The 27,160-nt window shown below is 36.6% G+C and overlaps 1 protein-coding gene across 36 annotated transcripts in view, besides 4 other annotated features; it reads right to left on the bottom strand.

Annotated features, from left to right (window-relative positions):
• Nucleotides 1-27,160, bottom strand: part of NLGN1 (neuroligin 1) — an 898,421-nt gene that overhangs the window by 43,391 nt on the left and 827,870 nt on the right. The window lies entirely within an intron of this gene.
• Nucleotides 17,178-17,902: an enhancer, noted in NCBI's record as "OCT4-NANOG-H3K27ac hESC enhancer chr3:173950870-173951594 (GRCh37/hg19 assembly coordinates)". NCBI's record gives its function as "activates a minimal SCP1, AML or CMV promoter by ChIP-STARR-seq in primed H9 embryonic stem cells {active_cell/tissue: H9 hESC(primed)}" and the evidence as "EXISTENCE:reporter gene assay evidence [ECO:0000049][PMID:30033119]".
• Nucleotides 17,903-18,628: an enhancer, noted in NCBI's record as "OCT4-NANOG-H3K27ac-H3K4me1 hESC enhancer chr3:173950144-173950869 (GRCh37/hg19 assembly coordinates)". NCBI's record gives its function as "activates a minimal SCP1, AML or CMV promoter by ChIP-STARR-seq in naive and primed H9 embryonic stem cells {active_cell/tissue: H9 hESC(naive and primed)}" and the evidence as "EXISTENCE:reporter gene assay evidence [ECO:0000049][PMID:30033119]".
• Nucleotides 18,629-19,353: an enhancer, noted in NCBI's record as "OCT4-NANOG-H3K27ac-H3K4me1 hESC enhancer chr3:173949419-173950143 (GRCh37/hg19 assembly coordinates)". NCBI's record gives its function as "activates a minimal SCP1, AML or CMV promoter by ChIP-STARR-seq in naive and primed H9 embryonic stem cells {active_cell/tissue: H9 hESC(naive and primed)}" and the evidence as "EXISTENCE:reporter gene assay evidence [ECO:0000049][PMID:30033119]".
• Nucleotides 19,354-20,080: an enhancer, noted in NCBI's record as "NANOG-H3K27ac-H3K4me1 hESC enhancer chr3:173948692-173949418 (GRCh37/hg19 assembly coordinates)". NCBI's record gives its function as "activates a minimal SCP1, AML or CMV promoter by ChIP-STARR-seq in primed H9 embryonic stem cells {active_cell/tissue: H9 hESC(primed)}" and the evidence as "EXISTENCE:reporter gene assay evidence [ECO:0000049][PMID:30033119]".

Here is a 27,160-nt window from a genome sequence, read left to right as displayed (position 1 = left end):
TCAGAGGAAACCTTGATTCCCTATTAGGCTAAGCTGGTGTAGTCATATTGTGCTCAACAGTAAAACAAAACAAAACAAAAAAGGCTTTTTCTTATTAAAAATAGCATGTCAGATTCTGCCCAGAGAAACCTCACTCAAAGGAACAAGCAAGGCTCTAAGGGTAGAAAGGGTGATCAATATTTGATTATCTATATATTCTGGGTCACAGCTGCTTCTTTCCCCCGAGATGGGCCATAGTTTTTAAATTGTTTATGATCAGAAGTAAAGAATGTTAACTTCTCAAACTCAGCTTCAAGGCCCAGCACCAACTCTGCTTCACTAATATGACCTCCTTCTCCCTTCTTTTTTCCTCTGTCTCTTTGACTCAGGCAGTGCAGGCTTTTGTTTCTTCCTTTTCCAGACCTCAGAGTCTTCCTCTAGGCTTTCAGTGATGCCAACGTCCTTCTAGTTGTGTTTCCTTTGCCATCTTAAAGTTCCTCTGCAACAGATGCTCGCTCTTCAAGCAATAATTTTGTCTTTTGCAATGCTTTCCCCAGAAACAAATAAACCCCCTTAACTGAAATCAAATAAATACAATTCAAATAAAAAACTCATTTGAATACATATATTTGTCTGATCTTTCCAGAATATGAACTAATTATATTTTAGTAATGCCCATTCTATCATATAGCAATTAATAATAATGGTGACTAATCCTATGTTGTATCACCAGAATTTATTGAGACCATTACTCTGTGCTAGGCACTTGGCTAAGTACTTGCATATCATGTTTCGTTTAATTGATATAATAGCCCTGATTAGAAGATAAGAGTTTAGGTTCCCTAGTGAGTTAATGACAGAGTAATACTTAAGGGCTTTGTCCTGAAAAAAAAGTGTGCACTTAATATTTTAATAATGAAGTGTGGCTTTATGTATGATCTTTTTTTTGAACAAAATATTCCTCTGCTGTAACAACCTAAAAGATTTCCTACTCTTCTCAGTATCTCTCTGCTGAACACTTAACTTTTTCTTCCTTAACAAATCATCCAAGCTACAACCTTCTATTCCTTGATAATATAATCTTCTCCTTTCCAGAGGTCACACATTGGAACAAATGCATGACCCATTTGTGACAATGAAACACAGCAGCCTCCTTCTTATAATACAAAGGCACAATCAAAGAAGAGAAAAATAACTAAGCAAAAAAGGAAAGTGAGAGAAAACTCCCCTGGTTTTAAACATAACTCAATAGAAAATTGGTCTTTCATCAAAAGTATTTCCAGGCTAATGACTTGTGGTTTCTTTAGCTTTCATTTAAGTAGAATAGGACTCACTTTTTACAAAGTAGGTAAGTGGATAAAGTACTCATTCAACTTTACATTAATTTTAAAGGAAATGTGAACTAGCTTCAGTTGATATGAGCACTCATCTCAAAGAAAGTGTTCTGTCAGAGCTCCTGGGGACAGAACTGTCTAGCCTTATTTCAAGAAAGGACCATATTCACTTATCATGCAATGTGAAGAGACTGACATTGGATCTTTGCCCTGTGAGCTCCATTCTTTGCATCTCCTGTTTAGTACTATATGGTTCTAAGAGGGAGAAAAAACTCTCTTAATTACGTTCATAACATATCTTATAGTTCAGTTCAAAAGAAAATTTATCGGCAGCATGTGACAGGTACCACAGAAGGCACCAAGTGTAGAGAGGCATGGGAAATAAGTAACTTGTGAATTAGAGCAGTCATGTGAAAATGAAAATGTAGGAATAAATGCAGTTCTCAGCTTATGGCTATACATAAATGAAGCAGTGACATCATAGAAAAGATGGGGGAAGGGAAGGACCTATAAAAGGTATGTTTTTAATATCTACAAAATAGGACTCAAGATGTGCATCATTTTATTCAGAGTCTAAGGCTGTACCATTAAGAGACAAATATATGGGCACTAATGGAATTGCTACATCCCCTCTAAGGTTCCTAACAAATCTCATCTGAAACTTTTAATTAAATATAGCAGCATCGCAGATTTCCTGGATGTGGGGAAGCCACAGAGTAGGAAGCAGAGAAGCAGGAGTGGAGAGGATGACAGGATGGAAGTAGTATTAAAAAACTCGAATATGAAAATTGTATATTGGATTATAATGCCCACTTTTGTTTTGATTTCCTATACTATATAGTCTTTATTTAGAGTTCTTTATTATAGAGCTGTAGCTCCAACATACAGTCTTTTATTTTTATTTTTTTGAGGCAGAGTTTCACTCCGTTGCCCAGGCTACAGTGCAGTGGCACGATCTCGGCCCACTGCAACCTCTGCCTCCTAAGTTCAAGCGATTCTCGTGTCTCAGCCTCCTGAGTAGCTGGGACTAAAGGCACGTGCCACCACACCCAGCTAATTTTTTATATTTTTAGTAGAGATGGGGTTTCCCTGTTTTGGCCAGTCTGGTCTCAAACTCCCAGCCTCAGGTGATCCGCCTGCCTCGGCCTCCCAAAGTGCTGGGATTACAGGCGTGAGCCACCGTGCCCAGCCTATACAGTCCATATTTAGTGCTCTTTATTATGCAATGCATCCCTAGCACACTTTCTACACATATTATGTGCTCAATAAATGCTGAATTGGTGACTATGCATATTAATGGTGGATATTCTTTATAAACAACTGTCTATTTGCCTGACTCTGTTCCCTATTAGAAGATAAACATTTGAGAAGGTTGAGGGGAAAGAAAAGAAATCATCCATATATCTCCTGCCAATCTCTACACACAGTATGCCATATGTACAAATTTATAGAATAAAAAAAAAGTGAATCTGGCTATCATTTCTCCCAAGTGAAAATGGGGTCTGAGCACTGTAATCCTCTCTACATGTCCCTTTACTTTTCTATCATCTAGCTGAGTTCCACTTGCAAATCTGAAGTTGGAGCTAGAAATCTGGTGCCTATCAGTGCCAAAGCTAAACTGATTGTGCAGTGATCCATGTCAATTGCTAACAGCCAATATGAATGAATTAGTCATGCCTGGTCTGCTTATTTTTTGAATACAGACACAGGCTAAAAACATGTCCTATGGATTATTATCTTTTTCAAGAACCTAATTAATATACATCACACATCTGCAAACTTTCAGGCAGATTTACAGACCCTTTCAGTTCTTGTTCAGATAAGGTCAGACATTGGAGCAAAGCAGAGCAGTAGCCATCACTGTGGAGCCTGAAAACGTCTGGTCTTTCACAGCCAGGGTGGTTTCCAGCTGAGATGGCTGTTTTTGGTTTCCTGAGATAGCTTTAATGGACTGTTTGTTGGCTTGGGCTCTTTATCTCATCTCTAGGCTGGGTTGCTTGATGAGTGAATAATGAATGCAAGTTGGTCCAGCTGACAGTTGTCAACTACCAAGAGGCTATAGATAACTGTAAGTAAAGTTAAAGGATTGGACAGACTTCTGGCTGAACTGACAAAATCATTTAGATGAGAAGTCTGAATACGGTGTAGAGGTAGAGTGAGAGACAGCAGGAAGAAGAAAGACCTGTTAAAAGGCTCTTCGGAAGAGTTTTGAGAGACAGACTCTTAACAGAAAAACGTAGGTAGGTTTATCTTTCACAGCCATCCACACTACCTTCAGCCAGATAATAATGAAGAACCTGTGTTAAATGGAAGCTCAATGACTGGTGAGCCTGTTGAGGTCAGGGACTAGTTGTACAGCTTCCAGATGATACGTATCTTCAGAACCTGACACATAATAGTCATTCAACGACTGTACATTGACTTCAACTGAAAATGGACACAGTTCTGTCAAAACTGAGGAAGAACCTTTGATATTGATCTCCAAGTAACACCAAAAAATAATAATACCTCAAAAATGTTATTGGCATTGTGAAGAGGCATGCACAGTCTTTCCTAAGATAGGTAGAAATGAGCCATAGTAATTTAGAGAATGCTTAAGATGTATCAACCTTAAGATTTGGAGATACTCCAATTATATAGGCTCTATGCTATTGGTTCTTAGGAATTGTTTTGCTCTGTATGTCTACATGGACCATAGCATAATGAGGCTAAGGATCAATGAGATCAATGGGTGTTTAGGTTGGATTAGTTTAATTTACTTGTCAAATTCCTAGAGTGAACCAGCTATGCTTTCTTTGGTTTCTGCTGATCCAATCCATCAATGTGACCATCAGCAGATTATCAAGACCAATTTTCCCCCAGTGCAAACCATTTAACCATCCATTCATTCATGAGTGTATTTCCTCTAAGCTTCAAAAAAAAAAATAGCTTTATTAAAAATGGAATTAGGAGCTAAAAACAGTGGCTCACACCTGTAATCACAACGCTTTGGGAGGCTGAAGCAGGAGGATCACTTGAGGCCAGGAGTTTGAGACTAGTCTGGGCAACATAGTGAGACTTCATTTCCATAAAAAATTGAAAAATTAATCAGGTGTGGTGGCATACACCTGTAATCCTAGCTCCTTGGGAGGCTGAAGCCGGAGGATCACTTAAGCCCAAGAGTTTGAGTTTGCAGTGAGCTGTGATCAGGCCACGCATTCCAGCCTAAGTGACAGAGTGAGAACCTGTCTCTATTTTTAAAAAAATGGAATTAGGGTCATCCTAGTAAGTTTTTCCTCAAGAATAATGGCCTTGTCTATTCTTCTCAAAAATCTTGCATGTGTATAGAAAGCTGGTTTTGGAATAATAAACAGTTGGCTTTAAAGATAAGATCATATACAGAGCAACCAATATACTGAAAAATTAATGATTTTCATTGAATTTGACTGACTCAAAATAGGTAAGTAAAAATGTAGTGGGAATCTTGCCATTTCTAAATTTCTTTTAAGTCTTTCTGCTTTCTTCTAGCCTCAGCAAGTATCCAGTGACGTCTGGAAACAGTACTACAATTCTCATTCCTAGAATATTTGTTTGAGACTAGCTAAATAATCTGTTAAATGAACTTATGCTAAATTATATTGAATGAAAAAGGATCATGTAATGTGTCTCCCTAGGGCTTGTCACATAATAGAAACTCAATAAACGTACATTGAATCAAATTGACAATGGGTACAATTCTATCGAAGCTAGAGAAAATCACCTTTGATGTCAGTCTCCAGGTAATGCCAATTAACTTCCACAATATGTTATTAGGTTGCCATATTAGGTAACCTTTCCATCTAATAGGAGACTTTCAGAGACAACATTCAAGGCTGGTTATAGGTCTTAAGAATGTGTAAAGTAAGTGGGCAGAATATTTGAAGCAAATTGATCAATTTGTTATTACAGAGACCTCATAAAATTTACTTTTAGAAAACACCTCCAGTTATATATAATCTATGATATCAATAATATTTATTAGTAATGTTGAGAATTGGGAGTAATTTTATCAGCATGTTATAGTCTTTGTAGAGATAATTTTACATGTATCTATTTGGTTACTGTGTAATTAGACACCGGGTTTATTTTCTTCATGGTTTTTAATTCCAGGTGAAAACCAACAAACCAAGAATATTTTCCCAAATGATACTCATTAGGAAAAAACAGAAGAAGATATTTGAATTCAGTTACTTATTAATGTTAAATAGCTATCGGTAAAATATTTTTCCAATAGTTTTTAGGATGGGTAAAGTAGGATACACAGTAGAGTTCACTCATGTTGCCCTTCCCCACAATCTAGAAAGAAAGCCTAAATCATGTTTTATATATTAAACAAAAATAGCTATGTAGGAGACTTAGTTTAAAAAATTAATAGGGTGATTGCCTTTTGAACTAAAAATTACAAAGACTGTAAATGCCACTTTTAAAAAAAATATGAGTGCTATTAATCTCCACTTCCCAAATGGAATCTAGGGAGGTTAAGCTACTGCTAGCAGTACATCTATTACACAAAACAGCAGCATACAATGGGTACAGATTAAAATAGAAATAGATTGCACAGATGCTCTTTTGGCTCCAGAACATCCTTATAAAACACCTAGTCACACACAGTCTCCCTCTAATTTCTAGCAACAATTTAAATAAATACAAGATGTCAGACAATAATCCCAGTTAAGGGAAAAAAGGGCTTCAATTCCACCCAAGTTAATTGAGGCTAGAATCATTCCTGCGACATCTATGGCAATTTCACATTGGTGCACTTCAATTAAGGAATAATAAGAGTGCAAAGTAATTTATACTCACAGATTAGATGTCGTCTGTGAAAAATTACCGATTAACTCAAAGGCGGCCTCTGGAGTGCTCACCAAGCATTTTAATGGGGGTCTCTCTGTCACCTCTTGTCCTAATATCTGGTCAGAAACTAGCAACACTTTAAATTTGCCTTTTAAAAGACTCAATATACCTATTTTACACATCCATGACTTCCCCTTTTTAAATTTCCCCAACCTCAATTGTTTGTAGTAATAGTCAATTTTAATCATCTCCTTTTAAAAATTATTTTACCTACACTGTTTCCTTTTATTTCAATTCTTCTCTTGTACTTAGTATTAAAGGGCATTTTCTTCAATAAAGTAATAATTAAAAGACATTTATTTGAAAAACATTGTTCTGTATGGTATTTCCATCTCAGTGAGCATATATAACTCTCAACAATAAGAAAATGCAGTGTTTGTAGTAAAGAGAGGAAAGATTCTTAATTACTGTTTTCCCAAATTAAAATTTCATCTTAGTAGATAACAAGCATCATGCAGAAAATTTTGTGCATCATATTTGACCTTTTTAAACTTCCCACAAATTAAACAGGAAGGTTATAACTTGTTTATCTGTTCTTAAATGAATACTTTCTTCTTTCAGAATCTAGAACATATGACTAAGAACATAAACTTTTTAATAAATAAAAATAGCTTTATTGGAACTATTACTTCTTTTCCCTTCTTTAGCCATTAGCTGAATTAAAAAGCACACTGAAATATAAAGAAATCCACATTTATTTTATTAGGAAAGAAAAGAGTCTACTGTCAGTTATGAATTATGTATTCTTAGAGATGAAACACAAAAATGAATCAGAAGTAAAGCAAATTCAGCTTTTTTTCTTTCCCTATAATGATGGAAGTGTCAGAGGCCCTGGACCTAAAAAAAGTCAGAATATCTGAGTCCAAATGAGAGTTCTGTCACCCAAAAGTGGTATGAATTTGGGGTGAGCTCTTTGACTTCTGTGAAACAGTGTTCTCTGTAGCATGAGGCACCATCTCAACAAGTTGTAAGGAATAAATGTGTCAACATGTGTTGATTGTGTATACTCAGGATAGTTGTCGTTTTTGTAGGGTACATACTATTCAAATAGAATGTCAGAAGAACTACTAAAATGTTTTATCTCTCTGTAACAAGTATTCTGCAGCCCTTTTCTTAAGAGTAAGGAATTATGTATACTGTAATTGACGAGAAACTGCAATATAACCAACCTTATGGGACTTCCAGAAAAAAATATTAGAAATGTATAAAAAGAAACTGGAATAGAAAAGGAATTACATAGGGGAATTTTTAAGATTTTGTAAGAAAGAGAAAGCTGAAGCATAGAGACCTAGTTAATTTAATATTAACTAAAAGTTTCTAAGCTTACTGTCATTAAAATGTGGTTCTGTGTTTGGTTTAAAAGTGTTGCTTTGTGGCGGCAGCTTATTTATATTACTAGCACTGTTTATTTAAACCTGTCATTGCCATAGTGACTGAGTCTCCAGCCTGCCCACCCACGAGCCTAACAAGCCACATTAAGTCATTTTGTGAGCCCTGGATCTGGGAAGATAGACATGTTTGAAAGGAGGAATTTAAATATGATCTCCTTCCTTACAGCAAAGGGTTATCAAAGCAATAGGCAAAGGGCATACTTTCTTTTTGGGTATTAGAAATGTCTATATGTGAACATTTAAATACACCAGTGGCTTGGGCCTGCTCAGATAATCTATTCAGTTTTCCAAGACTTGTGATTAAAAATGGTGTCTGACTGAATAACTCCAACATATCATTTTTCATCTTTGCTTCAAATTCAGAAAAAGGACATAGAAAAAATAAAAAGCTTGAAATGACAATGAAAATCAAGGCAGGGAGTTAAGCTATGGCAAGAATCTTTTATTTCTAGAAGTAATTATAAAGTTTATCATGCTGGATTTCATTTAACGCCGTTAGATCATTTATGGCAGTGGTCGCCAACATTTTTGGCACTGGTCGCCAACATTTTTGGCACTGGGGACCAGTTTTGTGGAAGCCAATTTTTCCATGGATGGGGGCGGGAATGGTTTCAGGATGATTCAAGTGCATTGCATTTATTACGCACTTTATTTCTATTATTGCCACATTGTAATACATAATAATTATATAATTCACCATAATGTAGAATCAGTGGAACCCTCAACTTGTTTTCTTGCAACTAGATGGTTCTATCTGGCAGAGATGGGAGACAGTGACAGATCATCAGGCATCAGATTCTCATAAGAAGCACACAACCTAGATCCTTTGCATGCACACTTCATAATTGGGTTCAGGTTCCTATGAGAATCTAATGCTGCCACTGATTTGACAGGAGATGGAGCGCAGGCAGTAATGTGAGCAATGGGGAGCAGCTGTAAATACATTTGAAGCTTCATTTGCTTGCCTGCAGCTAACTTCTTGCTATGCCACCTGATTTTTTGTTTTTGTTTTTGTGAGACAGTCTCACTCTGTCGCCCAGGCTGGAGTGCAGTGTCGCAATCTCGGCTCACTGCAACCTCTGCCTCCCAGGTTCAAGCGATTCTCTTGTGCGGCCTGATTCTTAACAGGCCATGGACTGGCACGGTCCATGGCCTGGGGGATGGGGACCCCTGATTTATGGTGTACCAAGCAGTCTAAACAATTTACAACTGTTGACTCATTCAATCCCGATGCACTCTACTAGGCCAGTATTATTATCAACACATTAAAATCACACTGCTGGTAAGTAGTAGTAGGGTCTTAATTTGAACCCAGATTCTCTGACTCCAGAGTCCATGCTCAAAACCGTTATGCTCGGTTGCTGTGAGAAAATAAGTTAAGAAGTGCTTCATGAAACAGAGCTACTGTGCTCTGCTGGCACACATCCACATTGATAAAGATACGTTGGGGCCGGGCCCGGTGGCTCACGCCTGTAATCCTAGCACTTTGGGAGGCCAAGGCGGGCGGATCACGAGGTCAGGAGATCGAGACCATCCTGGCTAACACGGTGAAACCCCGTCTCTACTAAAAATACAAAAAATTATCCAGGCGTGGTGGCGGGCGCCTGTAGTCCCAGCTGCTCGGGAGGGGAGCCTGAGGCAGGAGAATGGCGTGAACCCGGGAGGCGGAGCTTGCAGTGAGCCGAGATCGTGCCACTGCACTCCAGCCTGGGGGACAGAACGAGACTCCGTCTCAAAAAGAAAAAAAAAAAAAAAGATATGTTGGATGTTGGGGGGTAGGGATTTATCAATTTACTACCTGTGTGCCCAAAAGATTGTAATATCCTTGAGAATAAAGACTGTGTTGATTTTGTTCTTCTATATATACGAAGTATTAGGAAGGTGCTCATTTTTTTTTTTTTAATTGGTGGATAAGTGCAGGTCTAAATGATGGCTAGAAAACTCGGCTTCTAAGAATCCTGGCTCAGAAGTCCAAGGTCAACACACCTAATTGGGCATCCATATCTCTACTGTGGGAAAGCTATTTTTAAAAATTTTAATCAAGTATATATTTACTATAAAAGCAGTACACTCAATAAAATTTAAAACCTGAAAAAGAAAAAATATATAAAACAGGCAAAAATAAACTACCTGTTTCATATTAGAAAAAAACAATGACTCCGGTTATGAATAAGAATTTTAAAAAGTTACAGAGAGTTATAATAAAATTTCCTAGCAGTTAAAATGAGTATAAAGAGACTTTATCTTCTCTGTTTTTCTAGTAGGGAAATAAATAAAAATGTAGGGTTCAAAGCTATTTTAAACTCTTGAAACTAAGTTTTGTCATTGTTAGAAGGGGTTGGATGAGGATGGCACCTGTTATTTTAAGTGACTACTTACTTAATGACTATGAAGTAAGTTACAAGAGGCCATCTCAATGGTAAAGTAGAAGACGTGGCACAAGGAAGAGATTTTGGAAATTGGTGGAAATGTGGAAGCAGAAAAGAAACAGCAGAGGAATATGGTAGAGCCATGTATATCCCCTGGGTTGCAAAATTCCCCTGACAGGAAGCAGTCCACCTGGATTCCTGAGTTGGAATCAAACAAAGAATGAAAAGACCCACAAATTCTCTTACATATAACATGTGCTTGAACCCCTACTTTGCTTTCAAAATGAATTCAGGGGTGCTATATATTCTGAGCCCTTGAATATTCCAGAAAAGAAATTTTCTTAAGTGTAATATCCATGGGTCATGATGTTTTCTCCCAAAACTCTATGGATGCTGCTCTATCCTATTCTGAAATACAGTTGCAGAGAGACTGGGTGTGCGATTTTTTGTTACTTTCTAGATATCCTATTGTTGGTTTTGTTTTTTCTTACGGACTTTTTTCCTATCTGGCCTGTATAATGACAGCGTTCTTGGTAATTTAAAAATTTTTCAGGATTTATCTAAATGTAGATATTTCTTTTTAATCCTTGCTTATTATAAGGAGGACTCTTTCAATTTGGATAATTGAGCCAATTTTTCAACTCAAGAAAATTCTTCCATATTACATTTTATTATACTTATATTCCAATTTTATATCTTTCTTTGGAAAATTCTAAAGTTAGATCTATATGTTTAATATCATATGTATTATGTTCTTTCTCTTCATTTCAACTTTGTTTTTTCTTCTATATTACAAGAGAACTTTTTAAGTATGACCTGCATGCAATGAATCAGTTTTCTATTGTATTGATTCCACTCTTTATTAGCATCAATTTTTGTGAATTTAAAATCTATCATTACTGTTTAATTCTCTTGGTATCCTTCCTTATTATACACACCCATTGTTAAATATCAGCCTCATGTCTTTTTATTAAATCTATTTTCTCTGATTTATGCCTCTGTTTCAGAGTTAATGTAGTATACATTCTATAAAGAGTGTCAATTTCTAAAAATTATATTCTGGGGTTCCTGTATCATTTTCAGAGATCTGCTTTTCTTTTACTAAGATAATCCATTGTTTTTGCTGGATAATATTTTTAAAAGGAAAAATATTATTTTACTTTTAATGTTTTCTTTTTCTTTATTTTCCTTGAGCATGGTTTCCATCCCTGCAGTTGGTCAAAATATGAGTTTGACTTGTTCTTGGTCCTACTCAGTCAATTTGTCTAAGAGCCAAACCCTCTTCTTAGATCTAAGGCTGGATAGCTGATTGGTGTACACTCTGGCTGACTCAGTTTTTAGCATTTACAATTATATCGACTACCCTTCTTTCTGCCATGCTAAAACACATGAAGAAATAATAACTATTGTTTTATCCAGGATTTAAAAAATTAATACAAAAGGAAACATTAAAAATGAATCAAGCAAAAAAGAGTAACAACAACAAAAGAAATGTATTGGGTTACATGATGTAATAACTAAAATGCAATTAGGAATAGCTGAATCCAAATGTTTAACCCCTACTAACAGGACCTTCTCTTGCATAAATTCTAGATGAAAGGGGCCAAGAGAAATACAGTACAAGCGTGCTAGATGCATACATGTAAGTTCTTAGAATTAGGCAATATAGGCCAGGCTCGGTGGCTTATGTCTGTAATCCCAGCATTTTGGGAAGCCGACGTGGGAGGATCATTTGAGGTCAGGAGTTTGAGACCAGCTTGGCCAACATGGTGAAAGTCCATCTCTACTAAAAACACAAAAGTTAGCCGAGTGTGGTGGCGCATGCTTGTAATCCCAGCTACTTGGGAGGCTGAGGCAGGAGAATCACTTGAACCCGGGAGGCGGAGGTTGCAGTGAGCTGAGATCGCCACTGCACTCCAGCCTGGGTGACAAGAGTAAAACTCTATCAAAAATAAAAAATAAAAAAAAAGAAAGAAAAAAGAAAGAAAGAACTAGGCAATATATTATTCTGCATTTTAGCTGTAGGTAAGAAATGGATGTCTAATGAGCTCCCAGGTAGTCAATAATGAAAGCCAAGACATTCCACCAACCCCATTGAGTAGCAAACATATAATCAGTGTAGATGACCTTTTGTTTAAGTATAGAAAATTAAAGAAAGAGAGAGACAGACAGTTGATATCATCTTATTATCTGTACAAATGAGAGTGAGTGCTTATCTTTAAAACTGATTTACTACAAGAATTGGAAAACAAATATAGACATACTATTTTGCATCCTCTGTCTATGAAATTGGGTTCAAAGTCATAAGGATAAATTAGAGCCTGAACTGAAAATGGAAACTGTAAGAGGGAGAAAAAAACATAAGAAGTACTTCATAGGCTGGGCGCGGTGTCTCACGCCTTTAATCACAGCACTTTGGGAGGCCAAGGTGGGCGGATCAAAGGTCAAGAGATTGAGACCATCCGGGCCAACGTGGTAAAACCCCATCTCTACTAAAAATACAAAAAGTAGCTGGGCATGGTGGCACGCACCTGTAGTCCCAGCTACTCAGAAGGCTGAGGCAGGAGACTTGCTTGGACCCTGAAGGTAGAGGTTGCAGTGAGCTGAGATTGTGCCACTGCATTCCAGCCTGGCAACAGAGGGAGACTCCATCTCAAACAAACAACAAAAAAAAAAGAACTTCATAATAGTGAAGAAATGATAAAAAAAAATAAAAAAGAAAAAACAGAAAGTAGAGATTGAAGAAATGTCTATTTAACCTTAAGAGTTTAGACACACATTCCAGAGGAAGACATTAGGGCAGCTGCAAAGGAGGCAATTAGCAAGTACAAATTAGCAAGGAAAAAAAGAAAGTACATGGATGACACTTACCTGAGTTTGAAGGCAAAATAAAACAAAAACAAATGAGTATAGAGGTGAAAAGAACTGTCCTTATTCCAGTGGCCTAGTATGAAAATATGCAAATCTACATAGATACCTACTGGAACAAAATATTTGATTCATCAAGATATTTAGCACATCCTACTGTCAACTATACAGGTAAAAATGTTGTCCACAAAGGAATTAAAAGTCTTATTAGCAACTGACTTCTTTGCCACATGGAATATCTGGAGGCAATAGAAAAGGTGCTACAGAGTTTTCAGGGGAGGATATCAACTTACAACCTAAAAATTTTATCCTGGCCAGGCGTGGTGGCTCACAACTGTAACCCCAACACTTTGGGAGGCTGAAGCAGGCAGATCATTTGAGGTCAGGAGTTTGAGACCAGCCTGGCCAAAATGGTGAAACCCCAACTCTACTAAAAATACAAAAATTAGCCACACATTATGGTGGGTGCCTGTAATTCTAGCTACTTGGGAGACTGAGGCAGGAGAATCACTTGAACTCATACAGCAGAGGTTGCAGTGAGCAGAGATCATGCCACTGCAGTCCAGCTGGGTGACAGAGTAAGACTGTCTCAAGAAGAAAAAAAAATGTATCCTAACCAAATATTTATTTACATATAAAAACAATAGAATGCTAACTTCAGATATGCTTGGCTCAGAAAGTTATGTTCATTTTGCAAATATTACTTGAAGGTGAATTGCAGCTGACTGAATGATGAATCAAAAGCAAGAATTTTAACATAGGAAAATGGTGTCATTAAAGGATTAGTGTGATATAAAATTGTTAAACATAATTAACAGTATAAGTAAATTGTAGTTTTTGGATAGACAAATGAACAAAACAAAATGTAATATTGGAATAGAATCTGTGTAAGCTGTAAATAAATATTAATGTAAGCTTTCAGGTCTAAACACATAGATTGTTTTGACAATGACTTTAAATTGGGATGGCAGGGAATAAAAGTGAGGATAAAGTATTTGAAATTCCTTACACTAAATTAGAAAAGCAAAAAAGACTTTATTTAATTTTCTACTTTATCAATAAATTAATTATATGATAATTATTTCTAATTTATTTAAAGCAACTCACTAGAACAAAGTTCCATGTGTTGTGTATTTTGTTGATGTATCTCAACTGCCTAGAATATTTTCTAGTATATAATAGGTGCTCAATAAATAGTAGATTAATGAATTGATGAACTGAACTTTAGATTTAGAAGCAGAGTGTATATAGATGTACTTACTTTTACAGATTTGAAAATTGTGTACTAACTGGGAAACTAAAAGTAAGCCATAGAATCTATATAATAAAAACTAGGAAAATAAACTACCAACAGTGATAAATAATAAAATAACAAAAGTTCAAATAAGACTAAATAGAGTGCAGTTACAATAAATGTAACTGTTATAAATTCTACTTTTAAATGGTGAAGAATTTGTGACTGGTTAAGAAACAAAATCCAAATACATATTGATTGTAACATATTAAAGACATGTAAAAATCAATGAATGGACAAAACTTCACAAGTAAACACAGACTCAAAGCAAGCACTAAGAACAGCATTAAATCTAGAAAAAGTAAAATTCAAGAAAGACAATATAAAACAACTTAAATTTTTTTAAAAAGAGGGACATTTTTTGGATCAGAGTTACAATCTACAATGAAAATAGTTGTCACCAATCTTTACATGTCTCTGATGTTACATTAAAACATGTAACATAAGACTCTTAGAAATACAGTAATTTTAAATATTAATAATAAAAGGGAAACATCTGGAAAAACAATTATAGGAATTTCATATAATGCTTTGAGCATTTAACAGACTAGGTAGGAAAAAAATATATATAGGCATAGAGAATTTGGATTTCATCATTTGAATTACATGTTTTTTGGATAATAGGTTCGAGTAACATACTGGTATTGAACCACATGTATCCTATAGAGAACACAGTTCTTTTCAAGCACCTGAGGCATATTTATCAAAACTGATTGTATGGTAGGCCTCAAATCTTTATAGATTCCAAAAAAGCATACTAGTAACATTCATTTGATCACGACTTATTGATATTTATTGAGGACCCACTCTGTGCCAGCACAATCTAAGTATTGAAGAAAGAGCAGTGAATAAGAGTCCAACTCCCTGACTACTTGGAATTTACATTTTAGGTGGAGGAAGACAGGAGTAAATAAATAAGCCAGCAAATATATTTTATATCAGATAGAAGACTATGCTATAGAGATAATAAAGAAGCGTGAGGGGAATTGGAGTTGTGGAGTTTTAAAGAGCTTAACTCTATTTCTTGCCTTTTTTAGGTCACGTTCCTCAAACTTACTGGGAATTTGGTCTGTTCTTAGTTCTACTCTTTTAGAAGACACTAGTCTCCTTAGATTTAAGCCTTTTATGATTTTACTAAATCTATAACACAGAAAATATGTTAACAAATCCACATTTTTAAAAGGAAAGTGCAACTATATGTCCTATTTGTAATCACAAACAACATAAATAGATAAAATAATATCAAGCCAGTTGAGAAGGGTGTTGTATTAAAACAGATCCTCTGTTTTACTTTTTCTATGTCTTAGGAATCTAAATGTAAGATGCGTCTGCCCAGGGTATTAAAAGGAAATCACTGGATGACATGTACTAAAAATGGTTTGCTAAATCACTAAGCTAGAATCACATTATCTCACACAGATATAGAGTAGAACTGGAGTGTGAACAAGCAACTGTATTAAGAATTATGTGCTTTCTGTTGTTCCTTTTTCCTCACACCAGGCTTGCTGAAATTAATTATTACTCTCTAGGACTGAGGTCTTAGCCAAGAGGAAAAGTTCAGGAGAAGAGAGATGGTAAGAGTGGGAGTTACAGACTTGGTGTATATGAAGGAGGGGTAAGGAGGTAGATAATTCTTATTTAATCTCCTGTGTAATTGGGTTAAACATTATCAAGAGTAGATTTCTAAATAAATTTGGAAGAGACAACTGCAAACTCCTGGACATATGAAATCTGATTTCTCAGCCCAAGTCAGCAGCAAAGTTAAGAGAATGCAGGTCAGATGCTCCACATGTTGGTTTGATGCTGTGGTAATACTAAAAAAAACTGGCTGTCACTAGAATGGTGGTACTCTTATTTACAAAAAAAAAAAAAAAAAAAAAAAAAAAAAAGGTGATTCCTTTATTTTACAAAGCTCAGAAGGATGATATATATATAAAAAATGCATCAAAGGGAGTATCAAAAAATTCAAAATAAAATGTTGGAAAAAGAGGATTTTCTTATATATTTTAAAATAGAGGTTATAAACTATATAATTTTGTTTTACGTTAATTTGGTGCTAAAAGCATAACTGAATGATTTAGTGTGGAATGACTAAATTTCATATGCTTTTGTTTCACTAGGTAGCTAGTCAGACATGAACAGAGCAGGAGAGGGCTCCCCCAACTCCCACCAGGAATGTCAGGCAACCATCAGGTGATAGGCAGTTGTTACATTGTTTCTCTAAAATAATTGCTTGCAGCCAGCTCCAAGAAAAGGCAGTCTCCCAATAGATAGAAAAAACCTAAAACTAGTGCTCATCAGCTTCATGGTAAGATCTCAGGAGTTGGGCAAGTGGGCTCAAGCATGTGCATTAAGAGGCAAAATCGTGGAGTTTAACTGTTACATGACCTTCTTGGAACATCTGGATGGTAAGGAAAGAACGCCTCAAGTGAACATGCATACAACTCTAGTAAACACACTGCACATGCTTCCCTCCCAATTGCTAGCAGGATGCTGTGAATGCAGACAACCCAACCCAAGGGAAGAATCAGGGGAGAAGGGATGTAAGACTCCAAAAGCATGCCGACACGTAAAACCCCAAGTCAAAGGTCAAACAGTGCACTTGATCTCTCAAGTCACCTGCTTGACCAAGTGTACCCTGCTTCCAAGTGTACCCTAACTTCCTTTTGATCCTCCTCCAAAACTTTTTAATAAACTTTCACTCCTACTCTAAAACTTGCCTCAGTTTCTCATTCTGCCTTATGCCCCTTGGTTGAATTCTTTCTTCTGAGGAAGCAAGAATTGAGGTTGCTGCAGACTCAAATAGATTCACTGCCAAAACACTTCTATTCACATGGAACTTAAAATAGGTTAATGGAAAGAGCTATAGAAAACTAAAGTTTAAATGCCCATATAAAGAATAAAAGAAAAAGAAACTGTATGTCAACATATAATAGACACAACAAAAAATAAGTTAGAAATTAGTATGTAATAAATACTGCATTTTTATCACTACTAAAGAATTAAATGGCAAAGATGGTAATATTTTGTGGCAATATCTACGTTTGTGGACTTAATAATACCATTAAATTATATGCCTTCAGTGAACTAGTTCTGTTGAAGTTTCCACATCTTTAAGTCAATTCTTTGACCCAAAAAAGATGCTGTGGAGACAAAAGTGACTCCATCTTGAATGCTAATACACCATGGTGACTTCTGATTAACCTCAGTCCCCAGAATGCCTCCCGATTACAACTTTATTGATGACTGTCCCTAGTGTAAGAATATGTCAACCTTGATGTTATCACACAAATTGTATGACACATATAGCATTCTTGTCTGTTCAAGAGGTTTGCCTTTAACTGTTTATTTTTTATATTATTATTATTATTATTATTATTATTATTATGAGACAGAGTTTTGCTCTTGTTGCCCAAGCTGGAGTGCAATGGCGTGATCTCAGCTCACTGCAACCTCTGCCTCCCGGGTTCAAGCGATTCTCCCGCCTCAGCCTCCTGAGTAGCTGGGATTACAGGCATGCGCCACCACTCCCAGCTAATTTTTTAATATTTTTAATAGAGACGAGGTTCTCCATGTTGGTCAGGCTGGTCTCGAACTCCCAACCTCAGGTCGAACTCCTCCCGCCTCAGGCTCCCAAAGTGCTGGGATACTGGCGTGAGTCACTGTGCCTGGCACCTTGAACTTTTTTTACTGGAGCACATACACACTTTCCTTAAGGTACATAAACCCAGAATCTGGGAAGTAACAGTGCAAAGATCTTCCTGTCTTGCTGCCACCCCAGAGCACCCTTCTGTCTGTAAGTCCCCTCAATAAAACATCCTTTACTGAGAAATTAGATTTGTCTACCTTGTTCTTTGGTTTTGAAGGAAATTAAAGCATTTTATCCCAAAATATATTTCTTTGTCACATTTTGAAATGGCTGCCACTTGGCCAGCCTGACAGAAGTGGTCTTGCAAAGCTGTCCGAAGTTGGGGAAATTTGCATTTGTAGAGAATCTCCATTAATGCAGGCTTGTTCCTTTCTCTTTTGAGAGTCGGAACCATTTAAAATCTGAAAGGAAACATTTACCATCTATTCTCCCTGAGGGAGGCTTCATCTACATGACAAGGCCACTTTTGCTAGCCAAAATCTTCCTTTCTCTCTTAATCTGTCTTGCCATTAAACTTAATTTACCTGTTTTCGGCCTTTCTCTCTCTTTCAACCTGTCTTGCCATTAAACTTGATTTACCTGTTTCCGGCCACATTATGAGCCTACATTATTTACTGTGGCCTCAGGATGGTATATTCATTTCTGTAAGTATTTGGGAAGTTGAGTCTTCATTCTGAAGGGTCCCATGTATACATGTTAAATTTGTATGTGTTTTCTCCTATTAATCAATCTGCTTCATGTCAGTAATTTTTAGCAAACCTTTAGAGGGCCAACAGCCTATGGCTCCTGTCAGGCCTCTGAGCCCAAGCTAAGCCATCATATCCCCTGTGACCTGCACGTACACATCCAGATGGCCAGTTCCTGCCTTAACTGATGACATTCCACCACAAAAGAAGTGAAAATGGCCTGTTCCTGCCTTCACTGATGACATTGTCCTGTGAAATTCCTTCTCCTGGCTCATCCTGGCTCAAAAGCTCCCCTACCGAGCACCTTGTGAACCCCACTCTGCCCGCCAGAGAACAACCCCCCTTTGACTGTAATTTTCCTTTGCCTACCCAAATCCTATAAAACGGCCCCATCCCTACCTCCCATCGTTGACTCTCTTTTCGGACTCAGCCCGCCTGCACCCAGGTGAAGTAAACAGCCATGTTGCTCACACAAAGCCTGTTTGGTGGTGTCTTCACACAGACGCGCATGAAAGCTCCCACAGTTTCTTGGCTCCTTCATTATTCCGGGGGCTGCTTTGCATGTACAGTCCTTTCACAGAACAGATGACTATTTAAATGGCTAGCAATCACTATCCCATAAGTTAAGGGATATGTAACTTCATAGAGGAGAAAACCTAGACTTAGAAAGGCAAAATAATTCCTCTAAACAACCACCTAGGAGAGGAACCTTGCAGAGTAGAGCCAATACGAAAAGGGAAGCAATTTTGAAAGCGTGTCAACACCAGCTAGGCTGGCGTGACTTGGGAGCAACATGCCAGGCTAAGATTCTGGGCTGGGGGAACAGGAATGAGAGCCCTGGAGATCAGGGATCATGAGCCCAGGGACATTCAGATTTGGAAAAGGGCTGCTATGCAGAGAATTAGGAATTACCAAATCCTATCCACATTGAAACCGCAAACTAAATATGGCCTGAGAAGGACTGCGTACTTCTGTATTTGAGTCCTTGTGGATAAGCAGTACCCTAGCTTAATAGTCAGACAAAATTGAAAACCTAGCTTAGTAGTATGCACCTGTAACAATAGCTGAGTGTTGGGCAATCCCAGCGACCGTACATTAACCACTCATAGACTGCTGAATGTTCAAACTGCATTCAAAGAAGTCCAACGCTGAGCTGTAACCAATCTCACTGTTTCTGTACCTCGCTTCCAATTCCTGTAGGTCACTTTACCTTTTTTATCTATAAATGTGTTCTGACCAGCAGGCACACCCGGAGTCTCGGCGAATTTCCTGTGCTTCTGGGACTCTCCGATTCGCAAATCATTCATTACTCACTTAACTTCTTAAATTTAATTCGGCTGAAGTTTTTCTCTTATTACTGCCCTAAAAATTATAACTGAGAAAATTATGACGGTGAAAGAGATCTGACTTAACTGACTCCCTCTTGCTTCTAACCTCCAAGGTATCCTTGTTCGTTCCTGGGTGTAGACAGAACTCACTTTGGGATGAACTTAGTTTATAGCTTAACTTTGAAACAAGGACAGTAACAGCCCTTCCTCAAACAAACCCCCTTCCTGCCTGAGGACTAGACTGCCTTTGCAGGACTAACAAATTAGTCACAAGATTCAAAATTCAAAATTATCATTTGAACAAAACAAGAAAACAATTCCCTACACCATTAAAGCCATTTACAATATACAATATAGTATGTAATGAGAGGATAATAGTTTCTCTTATAAATGTACTATAATTTTTTAATTTATTTCTCTATTTTTTTTAAATATTTATCCATAAAAAGAAGGATCTTGCTATGTTTCTCAGGCTGGCCTCAGACTCCTGGGCACAAACGATCCTCTTGCCTTCCCCTCCACCCCCTCAGTAGCTGGAACTACAGGCTTGTGTCACCATGCCAGGCTATTTCTCTATTTCTGTACATTAGACCAATGCTGATACTTCACTAAAACACATAATGCCAAGGTGAATACTTTTGTGCATAAATCTTTTTTCCTATTCTCATTTTTTAATTGTTGATAATGAAAACACTGAAGGAAAATCTATTCATATTTTAAGATAGGTAAATATTACAACTTTTTTTCTCAGAAAGTTTACACACCAATAATAGTGAATGTTAGATACATACCATTGTATTACTCTTGGCACTGGGTATTATACATTTTGTATTCATCTTTAATAGTTTCATTGGGGAAAATGACATCTCATTTTAATTTGTATATCATTAATTTTTAATGAAATTACATGTTTTTCACAAATAAGTTTAAGAGTTCATGATTAAAATTTTCCTAGGAAAATATTCATCTCACTTCTGAGTCACCCTTTAAAGTTTCAAGTTGTGCTTTTTCAATTTTGTAATTCCTCTCCCGGGTCAGGTCTCATGGGGCACCTATCTCTGCATATAGTGAGTGCTCAATGTATCAGTGTGAGAGTCTTATTGCATTTCACCACACTGCCATATATGGACCTGTGAGACCTTCACTTGTAGGAAATTTCCCTTTAAAAATGCATCTGAAGACTACAATGAAATGGGGAAAAGCATAGTTTTGGTTGAGAAGGAATGTAAGGATTTCTCTAGATGTTTAATTAATCATTTTGGGATGAGTATATTTCTTGTCAGATTAGCAGCACGTAAGAACTGGAGGCTCAAGTGTATTCTATTCACACAGAAGTGGATAGATTCCACACACAGTCAATAAAAAGCAAGAGGCTTATGTAAAACAAGGCTAAGAAATTGCAGTTACCTTCCCACCAAAAGAAATTATTTCAAAAGCAACATCACATAGTCGCAATTACAGTAAAATGGAATTTTGTTATGTCCTCTTGCTTTATTCCGAATTAAAACTTCCTTAAATTAATTCACTAAAATTCTAATCATGTTTTAAGGAAGTTGAGCAAATCCTGCAAATACATATATCTGCCAGTTTTTTTCTTTTACTTTTTAGTATTCATTAGCAAGAAAATTTTGCCTAAGACAAAGACATGAAAGCATACAATGTTCAAATTAAATGAAATTAAGTAAAGTCAAATTAAGTAAATGAAAACAAATCTAACATTTCACTTTTATTAATTTGGGGAGGGCATAATTTGATGTTGGCATAAGCAGTAATGTTTGTAAACTGTTTATGGAGATGCGGAAAGAGAAGAGGATGAATGTATATTATATGAGTGAGGTTTGATGTCTACCAGTCCTCATTTTCATATGAGGAAACTGAGATTGCACATTTTAAAAAAACTTGCACAAGATCACACCACTAGTTAAATGACAGATTCATAACCCAAATCTACTTCTGCCTGGCACCAAAGTTCACGTTCTTTCTTTTTCACTTTTGGCATACTTGATCTTGTTATAAGTCCTTTAGAAATAGTAGTGCATTTAGTTCTCTTAATAATTCTATATAATGAAAACTGTAATTACCACTGCTTTACAGTGAAGAAGTTAAAAGACTGAGAAGTGAAGAATTTGTCCAGGTTTACGCAGCCAGGAAGTAGCAGAGCTGGAAATTAAACCCAGGCAATTTGAGACTTAAGTCTGTACCTTGAAATACAACACTGTGGCATCTCTTGACATGCTTTGGAAATAAATGGAATCCATACTGTCTTCAGTGGGAATATGATACTGTAGCCTAGTTTTTACAAGGTAAAAACTCTCCAGGAAGTAATCAATGTCTATATTATAATAAATATAATAGTCTACTTACATGATCAATATTTGTACTATTTCTTGGTTCCCACAGAAACCTAATAGAATAGAAACACCACTTTTTTGTCCTGTCACTAGATTTCTATAAAAATGCTTGTTTGTGGGCAGGGAATACTCTGAAGAAGAGTTATGAAAAGGAAGGGCACATTTATTGCTGTAGTTTGAAATAAAACTTTTTTTCACCCAACTTAGATAAAGCGCAAATGGAATTTTATTTGCAGGGGCATATTAACATAGAATTAAAATGACAACTATATAGTTACCTAGTGCTGAATAGCGTCTATATCTAACCTATTTTCTAAAAGATATTTTATGACCCTCTACACTTGTATGCACAGTACAGAAAATACACTGATGTCTGTAGTTTTGTTTCTGTAGCCCCTACCACTTAGCAGGTATTCTGCAAATACGTGCCTTTGGGGATGAAGAAAAATGATTTATGTTAACAGAACTATGATTGAACTCATAATTGAGCCAAATCTCTTTTATGTGAAGTTGCATGCCATTTGATTTGCAAAAGTTGTTCTATCTTACTCTACAGGAAGATCCACTGATGATGTATCATTTTAATTTCTTTCATGAGCAGTCACTGGAAAAAAGTGGCAAATAACAAGGTTGTTTATTTGTAACAGCAGTGCTCCTCCAAAATCAAATGAACAAAAGGTAATCTTAATTTCATGAATCAATTATCTTAATAAATACCTACATAATTAACTGAAGAATTCTCTTTGGAAGAACCAATTGATAAACAATTTCAATGTAAAAAAAAAATGGAGAGAGAAAAACACAATAATCCTGAGCGAATAACAATATGTCTCAGTATGAAATACACAAATTTTCCTAAGAATATGTACAACTATATATTAAAAATCACTTAAGCATATATAATATGCAAATAATATCAGATTTGATTCTATTATTTATGCTCATACAGTGGCCAAATTTAAAGGCAATTAGTCAAATTATCTATTTAATACACCACATATTTTCATAAGTCAAATAAATATTAGATGATGCTAACATTAACTTCTTTCTTCATTATTTGTACTTGAAATATACATCTACTTGAATTAATTAAGTAATGCTATTTCACAAACATTTTTGAAAGATTTTTGGAAATCTAGGTGACACATTTGCCACCAGACATTTATGAATCTTTAGGAAATTTTCTTTGCCTCTTTTGATCACAGTTTTCTCATCTGTAAAATAAAAGGTCTAAATTAGATAAATTATGAGGGCCTTTTTGTGTTATGAAAACTACATCTACCTAAAAATATAACTTTCCTGGTAAATTATGAAATAATTTGAAGTAAAAACAAAATAGTTATACTAAGTGACATGGCTATTTGGGTACTAAGGAAAAATAAAAAAGATATGAATAAACTGAAGAGAATTGTGTTTGAATCCTGCTGTAACTTTTTTACAACCTCTGTGGCCTTCTCTTTAACCTTTCTGAGTCTCAGATCCCTCATGTGTGAAATGGAAAAGGCAGTAAAATTTTAAATATGTTTTCCCCACTATGTGGCAAGGGTGAATATTCCCTTGGATTGCTTTTGTTTTTCAGTCTTATATTTCACAGGAATTTGGATTAACGTAATGAATTCATAATATTTAAAGTTGCCGTAGATGTTTAATTAGCTAACTGTACAGGTAATAAACATGGCTTTGTGTTTTATACCTGAAGACTATGTGAACCTGGCAGGTTAAGTACAATGATTTCTCTTCTCCATTTATCAATTCATGCAAAGCTTATGCAATTGGTCCTCATTGCTCTTAAAAACTCACCTATTACATAAACCTTACTAGACCAGGCCTAAAATTATGTTTAATATTAGAATCACTAAAAGTCAACAATCGTATGCCTACTTGCTTTCATTTTTTGTATACCAGTAATAAATATCCAGGTCTTTAAATATGACTTCATTAAAACACATGTACTCCTTTGTAGCTGGGGCAAATGGAAAAAGTCATCAACCCCAGAAATGAATAATTCCCTGAACTGCCAATTTGGATAGAATGGCCATAATAAGGCAGCCCAAGGAATGGGGAGAGTATTCACAAAGGAACACCTCAGCAAGTCATTTTTAAAAAAAATTTAGTGTTATTTTAAATTTTAGTGGATGGTATATAACCCTTTTTAATTAAGTTAACAGACATATAGCACCTGGTTCTTATGTTGTAAAATACTTAAAAAGTAGAGGAAGTAACAATAAAATTCAGTGCATCATGAGTCTTTTTAAAAGCTGAGCTTGACAAAAACTAGCCTAAAAGCATCTTATATATAGTCTTCAATAGTTCCCCAACGTTGCAGCAATATGGAAAGGCATATCCAGACTAGAACTTAAAATCATTACTTCCGTGTTATGCTACTTGTACAAGAAAAATGCAATAATGCCACCAAGCAAACAACCCCCAAAACAACTGGAAAAATCCCTCTCAACCTATGACCTGTTAGGCTCACTCTTTATACTAAGCTAGTCCAGCCTTTGGCACAGTATAAGAAATGGATGGTCAAAAGCAAACCTAGATAACCAGGGGTGGTGGGTAAGGGGGTAGGGGGAGTAGCTAATGGTCTACCTCTTGCTCCTAGGACTATCATATGCCTTCAATTAGAAACCATGTACTTTTTTGGCACTCATAATTATTTCATAGCTGTGCTCATAAAGAACTTCCATGCTTTCTTCATAGATGAGGCACTTCCAGCCATATGTTTCCTAATCATCTCTTTGAATACATTTTGATGATCTGAGGCATAACTGGTCTTGGTGGCCATTAGTGAGCTTCAATGTTGGTTCATAAAGAGAACATCACCTTCAGTACAAAAGAGAAAACTATGGAAATCTGTGATCATGACCACACAACTCCTAATAAAATTAGATCTTTCTGCTATTTTACTAGATGTTATATGGGTATTTCTGCTCTAGAAATTTTTCCTTGACTTGTTTAATAAACCTTGCTACTCTAGAGTTTAATTGTAATGATGCAAAACCAAAACAAAACCCCCCAAATACTCCAAATAGTAAAGGTGCTTCATGGTCTTAATTATAAATAATATTTTTCCTCCCCCTTAGCATTTCTCTGACTTGCAAGAATAATCTAATTTTTTTTTTTTTTTGAGACGGAGTCTCGCTCTGTCCCCCAGGCTGGAGTGCAGTGGCGCAATCTCCGCTCACTGCAAGCTCCGCCTCCCGGGCTCACGCCATTCTCCTGCCTCAGGCTCCGGAGTAGCTGGGACTACAGGCGCCCGCCACCACGCCCAGAGAATTTTTTGTATTTTTAGTAGAGATGGGGTTTCACTGTGTTAGCCAGGATGGTCTTGATCTCCTGACCTCATGATCCGCCTGCCTCGGCCTCCCAAAGTGCTGGGATTACAGGCGTGAGCCACCGCGCCCGGCCAGAATAATCTAATATTACAGGAATAAAGCCATAGTATAAGACATGTTATATCACTTTGGATATTCATGTTACAGGCTGGCTGGACCAGATACCGGTTGCTAAATTTTCTTTTTCTACCACACAAAGTAAATGCCCATTAAGCCCTTAGGGCAGAGATTCTTTACATGAGATCCCTGGAAGCGTTTAGTGGGATCTGAGAAACTTTAAGGTTTCAGGCATATTTTTGTCTGAAGAAAGTGGCCATATGTTTTATTGATATTTTAAACAAGATTAAAAACTTTGGTATTGGGATTTCGTGAGAATATTATGCTGTGACTAATATCTCAGTCTTCACAGGTAGCCCTTCCCAACCAAAGTAAGGGATTACTGAGATATTTAAGATACTTGTATTTTTCCATTCTAGTGGTGGGAGGGAAGAGTAGGAGGGAAAGGAAAGAGTCCACATAAAGATAAAAACTTGGACTGTCTTTTGGAAGACTTTGGTTTTCCTTTGGACTAAACTCCTAACAAGCTTCTAAATTTAGACCCATCAGTTGACCTCTTTGGCTTATCTCTAAACTGAGTGTGTTGGACTACATCAGCATTATGCAAAGCTTGTTTATTGAAATCCTGGGGATTCTGGAAAAGTATTTCAGTGACCATCTCAAGATGAAAGCCTAGTGCAAAAAAAGTTCGGTTAGCTTGATGCACCTCCTAGCAGGAAAGGTGGATGTGGTGATGGCAGGTGAGTGCATAGATTTCCTTTTTTTTTGAGACCGAGTCTCACTCTGTCACCCAGGCTGGCGTGCAATGGCACAATCTCGGCTCACTGCAACCTCTGCCTCCTGGGTTCAAGCGATTCTCCTGCCTCAGCCTCCCGAGTAGCTGGGATTACAGGTGCCTGACACTATGCCCAGCTAATTTTTGTGTTTTTGGTAGAGACGGGGGTTCACCGTGTTGGTCAGGCTGGTCTTAAACTCCCCACCTCAGGTGATCTACCCGCCTCGGCCTCCCAAAGTTCTGGGATTGCAGGCGTGAGCCATCACGCCCGGCCAGATTTCCATTTTTAAGTGAGAAAATTTAAGCCATGTTAGGTGGTTCTTTTTGATTCCCATGTCATTCCTTTTTTGAGATGTTGAAATTGCTCAACAATTTGAGAACATTTGACAACTGCACTTGAATATCTTATGCTCAACAAAATAAGAACATTTTCTGTATGATATAGTAATTAGTTTATAATTATGTTTCCTCTATTGGATTGTAAGTAACTCAGAAGAAGCATTCTTTATTGGCCATTTCTAGAACCCTGAAAGTGGTTGCTCTATGGAACGAGAAAGATAAGCAAACAGAAAGTGATGAAAAATAATTTATATACCAGTATAGAAGATGGACTAAATATTCATGAGATAGAAAAGAGATAAGCAGAACTCTCAGGGTTATCATACAAAATAGTTCATGAAGCAGGATGGAAAGTTTGGGTTAAACTAGAGAGACATTTAGGAAGTAGAATGTGTAGGACTTTGTGGCTCTTGATGAGAAATACAAGAGGGAGGAGTCTAAAATAACTTTCAGATTTCTACAATACAGTCTCATTAACTCAGGGAGAAAATGCAGAAGGAGGAGCAATTTGGAAGTTAATGATTTGGTAA

The sequence above is a fragment of the Homo sapiens genome, chromosome 3 (genome assembly GCF_000001405.40).
Source record: "Homo sapiens chromosome 3, GRCh38.p14 Primary Assembly".
NCBI lineage: Eukaryota > Metazoa > Chordata > Mammalia > Primates > Hominidae > Homo > Homo sapiens.
This window is presented reverse-complemented; position numbering and strand designations above follow the sequence as displayed.